At 40.8% G+C, this 9,845-nt stretch overlaps 1 annotated feature.

Annotated features, from left to right (window-relative positions):
• Positions 707–1,906: an enhancer, noted in NCBI's record as "BRD4-independent group 4 enhancer chr2:5937560-5938759 (GRCh37/hg19 assembly coordinates)". NCBI's record gives its function as "activates an origin of replication core promoter dependent on BRD2, P300/CBP, MED14 and CDK7 cofactors, and independent of BRD4, by STARR-seq in HCT116 cells {active_cell/tissue: HCT116}" and the evidence as "EXISTENCE:reporter gene assay evidence [ECO:0000049][PMID:35650434]".

The following is a 9,845-nucleotide window of genomic DNA, read 5'->3' as shown; positions in this document are numbered from 1 at the left end:
GCCAAAGCAGTTGACCTGCAGAGCCGTGAGTGAGAAAAGCCACTGACATTCAGGGTCATTTGTTATGCAGCATTATTGCAACAATTATGGTCTATAAATCCACCAAGAAGCATTAATATCAATTTCAGCAAACTAGGGACAAAGAGAAGATCATAAAAATGTTCACAGAAAAAAAGCAGTTCATACACAAATAATTAAAACATCAGAATAACTTCAGATTTCTTTAAAGGAACCCTGATGCTAACCAAAAGACAATGAATGCCTTCAAATTTCTTTTCTTTTTTTAAATTTTTATTTATTTTTTATTTATTTATTTATTTATTTATTTATTTATTTATTTATTTATTGATATAGAGTCTTGCTCTATCACCCAGGCTGGAGTGCAGTGGTGCCATCTTGGCTCACTGCAACCTCTGCCTCCTAGGTTCAAGCAGTTCTTCCTGCCTCAACCTCTAGAGTAGCTGGGATTACAGGCCTGTGGCACCATGCCTGGCTAATTTTTGTATTGTTAGTAGAAATGGTTTCACCATGTTGGCCAGGCTGTTCTCAAACTCCTGACATCAAGTGATCTGCCCACCTCAGCCTCCCAAAGTGCTGGGATTACAGGCATGAGCCACCTTGCCCGGCCAAATGCCTTCAAATTTCTGAAGAAAAAAATATTTCCAACCTAAATTTTATACAGTCAAAGGATGTTTCTGACATGCTAGGTCCCAAAACGTTTACCGCTCATACTCACTTTCTTGGGAAGTTGTTGAGGAAAGCAAAAATAAAATAAAACAAAAAGGATAATCTGAAATAGAGAAAAGAGGAATCCAATATGAGAGAAGATAAATGAATCTCTAGGATAATGGTAGAGGGAGATCCCAAGCTACTAACTCTTCTCAGGCCTGGGAGCAAACTGCCTGGGGAGCTGTGGCACACAGGACACCGACACACTGAGCAGACTATGCGCATGCCTTTTGCTTGATGCCATCCCGTTAACCTGATGATGCAACTGAAAAAATGCACCAACAATATAAATCAGACAGCAAAAGAAAGAAGACGTAAGACTCAGAAAGCAGGGATCTGATTCAGGAGAAGGGGACTTCCTGGGATGACTGGGTGGGAAGTCCCATGATGAGGCTGCATGGATGACCTCATCCATGAGAAACCAATCCTGGAAGACAGGCACTGGTGATCTCCCTTGTGTCCCAGGAAGGAACATATGAACTGATCCTTTACTGATGCAATGAACCTTATTGAAAACCAGAACAAAGAAGATGTGGAAAGACTGAACAAGGGGCACAAAATTCTAAAGAAATGATAAAACAAGATACTTGCTAACTTCAGGAAGAACATTTTTAAAAATGTAATCATAATACCCTACAATGCACAGCTATATATAATATTTGCATAGCATAATAATAACACTGATATTCATTAAACTAACATTTTTATAATTGCTATTTAGGAGGATTGGTGAAAGAAGATGAGGGAAAGGGAGTATAAGAGGATTAAATTCTTATCTGTCATGATAGGAATTAGATAATATTTAAAATTAATGAATCAAAAGATAGTAGGCATATAAATATTTTTTCAAGACCAAGAAAAAGCCAAAAAAGGTGAAAATGGTTGCCTCCGATAAGGGAGACAAGATGAAATGGGAGGCAGTGAAACAAGGAAGTGTTATATTCAATCATAGAACTTTCAGTAATATTGAATAAAATGTTATTTTTAATTGTAAAACTAAAAAGACATTTCAAAGATCAAGAATTTAAAAGTACATATGACATAGTGTAATGAATCAATATTCAGTCTGGAAATTTTTATCAAGCTGTGGATGCTGGATGGTTTGTTTTCATTTGTCCACTCTCTTACAGCTGAGTAAATGGTGGAACTAGCAGGAGAACCCGCTTGCCACCCTCCTCAGCACAGGTAGGTCCCCCCATTTCGCAGAATATAGGCTTGCTTGGAGTGAACAGCCAGGGCAGTGCCCCCACTTGGACTGGTCCGTTCAGTGTTGGCTTTGGAATGGTTAAACCAAGGACACAAGGTCGAGGTTTTCACCTATGGATTGAGCTCTTCGGCTTCATGGGGCCTCAGAAATTCCCACTAATCCCAAGCAGCTGCCTTGCAAATGTCTCTTGAGTTCTTTATTAATTCTCTCATGAAACAAGCAGTTATTCAGCACCTGCTACTCTTAAGGCACTTTACTGCATATTGGGAATTTCAAAAGAAGCAATGATTTGGATGCGAAGAAAAGGGCATTATTTGTGATGATTTTCTGTGAGAATAGGGGAACAAGATCTTGAAATTGATATGTCATATTCAATTAACAAAATGATTTTACATCTACTATTTCATCTGATTTTCATCAAAAAGGCTGTTTAGTATATATCTGCTATGCTCCTTTGATACATGAGAGAGCTAAATCTCATGAAAATTAAGTAGCTTTGTGAAGTTCGTAGGGCTCACATAGAATGGATCCGAAGCTTCAAATTCATGTTTTCTCAGGCCAAGTCCGGGAGTTTTAAAATGACATCATACTGCCTTTGAAATTGACTCACTCACTTTCCTCATTCAACAGATCTGAAAACAGAACGGATGTAGCTTGAACACACAATGAACACAGAAATCTAAGTCTGTCTGATGAATGCCCACACCACCAGCTCCCTTGATCCCTATCAGCTCTGCTCACTGGTATCTTCAATGATCTCCCAAGACTGACTGTAAATACCTTCGCTGGGCACTGTGGCCACCTCCAGCAATCCTTCCCTAAGTTAAGATCATGACAAAAGTATTAGTTTTCTAGCTTCCCCATTCTTCCCAGAAGAACTTAGCATGGCTGAATGGGCATATGTGTGACCCAAACTGGTAAACTGCTGTTGTGATTAGATGCATGTCTGTAGTACGGATGGCTGGGCCTGCTCATCTTAATACTCCTTTAAAGCTTGATGTTTAGATTCATTAAATTGGGCAGCTCTCCAATAAAAATGCTTTTACACTGTTGGCGGGAGTGTAAATTAGCTCAAACCATTGTTGAAGACAGTGTGGTGATTCCACAAAGAACTAAAACCAGAAATACCATTTGACTCTCAGCAATCCCATTACTGGATATATACCCAAAGGAATATAACTGATTCTATTATAAAGATACATGCACATGTTTGTTCACTGCCACACTATTCACAATAGCAAAGACATGGAATCAGCAAAAATGCCCATCAGTGATAGCCAGGATAAAGAAAATGTGGTACGTATACACCATGGCATACCACACAGCCATAAAAAGGAATGAGATCATGTCCTTTGCAGGGACATGAATAGAGCTGGAAGCCATTATTCTCTGCAAACAAACGCAGGAACAGCAAACCAAACACTGCACGTTCTCACTTATAAGTGGTAACTGAACAATGAGAACACGTGGACACGGGGAGGGGAACAACACACATTGGAGCCTGTCAAGGGGCTGGGGAGAGGAAGAGCATCAGGATAAATAGCTAATGCATGTAGGGCTTAACACTTAGATGATGGGTTGACAGGTGCGGCAAACCACCATGACACACGTTTACTTATGTAACAAACCAGCACCTTCTGCACATGCATCCTAGAACTTATATTAAAATTTTTTAAACAATCAAGCAGTTCTCTGAGCCAGGCACCTATAAGACTTACTGAATCGAAAGATGAGTCCAACTCTTTCTTTGTCTTTATCCTCCAGGAGCTCACGATCTAGAATGAAGAACAGAGAGGTGATTTCAACACAGCGTGATAGGTTATATTCTAAGGACACAAAGAGTCTCATGTGTGTATAAAGATTGACAGCAAGAAGAAACAGAATAACAAAAGGAGGAATGCTCATTTTATCCAGTTACTCCTTGTATATTTGAACTCTGTCACTAGAGATTTTACATTCGTTTTTAGTATCTATCATTCTAAGTGCATTTATTTTACCACATGGCACTTGTCAAAGTACATCTATATATTTATTTGTGTTTATTTGCTGAATGTCTTTCTTTTATACTAACTAGAAAGCTATACAAGGCAAGAATTGTGCCTATTTAATTATCTATTTTATGTAACCTGAAGGCTTACTTAGTGCCTGGCACACAACTGATGCTCAATAAATACGTGTTAGGTAAAGAGATGATTAAGGGCAACTGTGTGTGTTTATTCTTCCTTGTGAAAAAGCACCTTTTCAAGCCCAAAAATTTTGACTCTAATTATTAGGATTATGAGTTAAATATTTCAATTACGGTGTGTTACTTTGTTAGAAGACAATCACGATGTAGTGAATAATGAGGCTAACAGCAATCCTCAAAGCTTAATTTTCAATTAATTAAAAGTACAATTTGTTCTCTGAATGCTAGATATCATTGTATGCATGGTGAGTCCATGTCAATTGATGCTGTATCTGAGTGTAAAATGCTGAAGTCCTTCTGGGCTGATGTTGAATTTCAAAATATGGTAAAACCAGTAACATGGCATCTCTAAGAAGGTTGCCTTACCGGGTGAATCACTCGAGGTCAGGAGTTTGAGATCAGCCTGGCCAATATGGTGAAACCTCATCTCTACTAAAAATACAAAAATTAGCCAGACACAGTGGCACATGCCTGTAGCCCCAGCTACTCTGGAGGCTGAGGCACAAGAATCACTTGAACGTGGGAGGGGAGGTTGCAGTAAGTCAAAATCACACCACCGTACTCCAAGCCTGGGAGATAGAGCGAGACTCTGTTTTGTTTTTGTTTCTGTTTTTTTTTTTTTTAAAAAAAAGTTTGGCTTACTTACCTCCCCATACACAGATACACAGGCTGGCCTAATCATTTTTTTAATTCTCATGACTGTTTCAAGGGCATATGTTGCTTTTCCACATCCCACGGGAGCAGCTGTCTAATAACCCCGAAGCCTCCTTGCCTTCCACCCACCGAACTCCAGCAATCAATAAGAAGATTATATCAACCTGGCCTCTGCTAAATCCCAATTTCTACAAAACAAGAAAGGAGGCTGTAGTGGACCTGATCAGATTTCACCTGGATATCTCACAGCAAAATCTAAGCTGCTGGGGAGGTGGGCAGTTTTCCTCTGGAGAGAAGGTGGCTCTGGCAATTCCTCTGGGCCCTGTCCCTGGAATGCTACCCCACTGGCCACACCTGCGTATCTAGATTGAACTGACGGCAATCTAGTGACCGTGGTGAGTGATGAGCTGTGCTCAACAGCATGACCCTGGCCAACACCGCCCCAGAGTTCCAGCGCAGGGAAATCCACTACCTCCCCAGCGTGAACTGTTGATCTGTTCAGAGCATTGGCTTGGCTCTAGTGGGGTCTGAAATAGACATACTGTTGAAGATACATTATGGAAAAATCAGAAGAGAAAGATGCTGAAAGAGAAAAGGGCTTTTAAGGGGATAGGAGCAGGAGCCTAAATCTGATTCTGAGAGATATCTATTTAACCTAAACCTTAGATTTGTCAGCTCCCCTAAATCAACAAATACTTACAGATGCCAACTCTGAAGCAGGTAACTGCTGGAAGGAGGGATACAGACTCCAGTAAGATGCAGTGCTGACTTCTTGGGGGTGCCAGTCCAGCAGAGGACGCAGGACCACACATCACCACAAAACCAAGGGACCTGTGCACAGTGGAGGAACACACAGGAGCAAACAGCCAACCAGAGTTTGCATCAGGGAGGGGTGGTCAGAGAAAGCAGCCCTAAGAAAACTCTGGTCACTTCTGCTTTTAAATTTTATTTGAGATTCAGGACATGCATGTGCTTGTTCTCACTGTTAAGTGGGAGCTGAGCAGTGAACATACATGGACATAAAGATGGTCAATTCTTAGGCATATGGAAAGAGTTGCTAAGCGCTCGCCCTTTTGTGCCTGGACAGAGATAGTGCAGAGACTATGAAGAGGACCAAGGGACAGCTGTTACTGCTCATAATGAAGGCATTAGCAGTCAAGTGCTTCATGGAAAGGGAAGAGGAACCTCCAAAGCTCTGAAAAACAAGAAACGGCACAGATGCTGACTCTAGGAAGAGTCATAGGAATGCAGTGAGTCTGTCTCCTGCTCCCCCAGACATGAGTTCCCAGGGCTCTCATCCCAGGCGGTAAGTTTTCATTTATACGTGACTGAAATAAAAGTACTAGGCTTGTCCAAAGCTTGGAAGAGTCTGTGGCCATTCTCCATGTTCCAGGAGTGCCTGTGAGCCACTCTGTCCACGGCTCTCTGCTACCTGAAGCTGCACAACCCACAAAACCAAGGGATCTGTGCATAGTGGAGGAATCAGCTGTTCAAGGACACAGAGGAGCAAACAGCCAACCAGAGTTTGCATCAGGGAGGGGTGGTCAGAGAAAGTGGAGTCACTTGGCTTCTGTGACACCACGGCCACCAAGATCAGACACACACAAGCTCCAGCACGTCACACCTTCGCCTGTCCTCTGGTCAGTATCCCAAATCCATTTTCCAAAGAAGGAGACTAAGACTCAAAGTCATTAAGTACAAGTTGCAAAGCCACATACGTATTTAGTAGTATAATCAGAATTTAAATACAGCCTTGCATGATTCCAAATCTTATGTTTTTAAATGATTTTTTTTTTCCGCTAAGACCGTGCACCTTACAACTGCTTGCATATCAGTCTTTGGGATTTCGCTGGCCTTAAAGAATATTAAAAAGCATTCTTTCTCATTTTGTCATTGGATTTTTGTCCTTTTATATGATTAATTTTTAAAACTCTAGGTAAACAATGATGAAAATAGGATTTTAAAAATGCTCACTCTCAGCTGTTCTACTAGACAGTATTACAATTATTTACAGATCTGGACCTGAAAGACAAATCAGAGAGGTGATTTTGGACACTGTAAAACTAAGTACCTGAAGTCAATGAAAGTTGAGTATTTCAAGTCAATGAAACAGAACTTGAGATAAAGGAGAACATTTCATTGGGAAAATCAGGTTTCACCACATTTGGGCATCAACAGTCTGAAGCCTAGGTAGACACCCTGTGGTTATGAGATGCTTGGCTGATATGTCTTTCTTTGCACAGAGTCTACTTTCTTTACAATTTGTTTTTACTCTGAAAAAGAGAGCCACTATAGCCACTATGAACTGGAAACTCGTAGTCATTATAACCCCTAGTCAACCGAAAGATAAAATATTTTGCTTATGCTAGTTCACTTCACAGGTATACTACAAAAAGTACTAGCTTCATTAATGTTAATTTTTTTAAAAATTGCACAAAGCTTAAAAATCTCCAAATCCCTTCTTGACACAATAATACACAATATATTCCACGAGACTGAGCATTCCAGTTAAGGACCATGAAATACCATTTGGCAAGTTACTACTCTCTGTGGACAAGATGACATTTTAACACTTTACGAAAGGGAGTTCATCTCCTCCATGGAGGTGCCTGGCCACCTCCCCAGGCACTGCTTCCGGGGAGGCAGCCAGGGCCTGAGGATGGGGTCACAAAGTCACCTGTAAATATGTTCTATTGGGTTCATGCTGTTGTTCTTGTTGCTCTTGCTGGTTTATATTTGAAATAGTGAACAACAGTTGAAACCAGGCTCCTCCTGAAACACAGAAAGATCTGACGATACTGAGGCGCATCCCCTCATGGCCATCATTGCTGTCCCTGCAGGAGGCACCTGCGCTTGGGCTGTCCTCCACCTCTGATCTCCTCCACTGCACTTCCACTTATCTTACCGAGGTGGGCCTAGGGAATGCTAGTGTTTGTCACCCTGGTTAGTCAGCAGTCAAGGTCTGCTGACTCAGAGGCTGCAATGTTGGGTTTTGTACAAGTCCCTGATGGAGGATTGGTCCCTAGGCATGTGACACATAGCCTAACATTCTTCGCTAGGGGTGACAGATCTTGGGATAGGTAGAGGGGCAGGGTGTGCTGAATGAACAGGTGGAAGGCAAAAGTCCATGTTTAGATCACACAGATATTTCCTTAGCGCCCACCGTGTGACCAGCCCTATGCTAGATGTGTCCCAGCAAAGAATTACTTATCCTCTGCTTGAACACCTCGGTGAACAAGAAACTCACTACCTGGTCAAAGGACCTTTTCCCATTTATAGGCATTTAATACTGTAAAAAGTGAAAACACACACACACACACACAGCCCCCACTCCTGAGTATGTACTATAAGACAATGCTGAGTGTAAACATCTTATCTAATTGGAATACTTACAGTTGCCACATGAAGTACCTGGTTTTTTTTTTTTTCATCTTATAGGGAAAAAAAATGGGGAAGCTTAGAGGGATTAAGTGATTTGGCCAAGAACACAGCAAGTAAGTGCCCGAATGAGCCCTCCATCCTTGTCTTATTCCAAAGCCTATACATACGTTGTTGGCTGGAAACCCATGGCCCTGCAATTAGCACAGATTTACTAGGTGGCCAGTGTGTTAATCCCTTACAGACCAATTGACATTAGAATGATAACGGTCGGAAATGGTTTATTGGGTTACTCACAGAGGTACTTACATCTAAAAGGGGGCTCCTGGATTCACTGGGCTTTAAATACAAAGGAATGTACCTTTAATAGTAGGGGTTTAGGTATTGGGGAAACTCTTGGCAACCGAAGCCCTGCAGCAGCAGGTCGAATACACCCCATAGAATCCCCTCCCCTGACCATTAGCTGTGCACGCGTCCAGGACAGAGGATTCGCCTCTCTAGGATAGGTTTCCTTTCCTGTCCAGCGAGGAGACTGTTCTGGATTATTTCCTGAAAGATTCGCAGCTACGAGTCTTCAAAACTGTCGACTCTTACCCGGTGACACTCTGCTTCTTCTTACCCCTCCCTGAAAATGATAATGGAAATGTTCAGAAGATTAGAGGCAGACATGAACAAATGGGTGAACTCATGAGTATTGGGAGGCTGGAGAGCTCTAATTAGAAGATCTTAGATTTGGAAAAATAAGATCAGCATGTTGCTTATATTTTCAAAGTTGTCTGAGAAGATCAGTTTCTCCATAAAACCACCTACTCACCCCAGATCCATATCCTTTACCATCTGTACTATGAGAAGGGGAGCATCGCTGTGATCAAAAAGGTGCTGCCTTAACTATTAAAGCCAACCTCACATGTGGAAAACAGGATGGGTTTTGATGCAGACAGTCAGACTTGGGTTGGAATGCTAGTCTTGCTTTTGAAAACCTCATGATCGTTCACAATTTTCAACCACACTAAGCCTTAGTTATTGTAATATAATAATTGTATATTATTTAGAGTTGTGATATTTAAAAAGTCTATGCCTTGTAATGAATGGAGACAATAAATGATGAATGTATTATACTGTAGGATGTACAACTTTGAGCACTGATGAAACTCAGAGAAATAGTCATGTGTAAATGAAAAAAAAGACAATTACAGAAGCCAGGTAACAACTATTTTGTGAGATTATATATATATAATATGCCTATATTTCAGGTAATCACTGTTGAGATTTGTCTATGCACTTGTATCATAGATCTACTCTACTAGTGATTACTAGTAATACATACGTGCTTAATCTTTATTTTTCTCAAAAGGTATCCAATTAATCAAAATCCTCATTCTACTAAAAAAAAACTAGAAAGCTTTATTACCTTCTTCTAGCTTCCATGTTGTTATAGAGTTCAACATTTTTATTTAATCTCATTACTAATATTCACAAAATAAGTTTTTTACGCTAAAACGCATTTACATATTTCTAATGTACTTTTACTGCTTCCATTTTCACCATTGCTTTATGTTCCCCAATATGGTTTGCCTGCTTCCCCACCCAAATCTCATCTTGAATTGTAGCTCCCATAATTCCCTCATGTTGTACATGGGATCCGGTGGGAGATAGTTGAATCATGGGCTGGTTTCTCCTATACTGTTCTCA

This window comes from Homo sapiens, chromosome 2, assembly GCF_000001405.40.
Source record: "Homo sapiens chromosome 2, GRCh38.p14 Primary Assembly".
NCBI classification, from domain to species: domain Eukaryota; kingdom Metazoa; phylum Chordata; class Mammalia; order Primates; family Hominidae; genus Homo; species Homo sapiens.
This window is presented reverse-complemented; position numbering and strand designations above follow the sequence as displayed.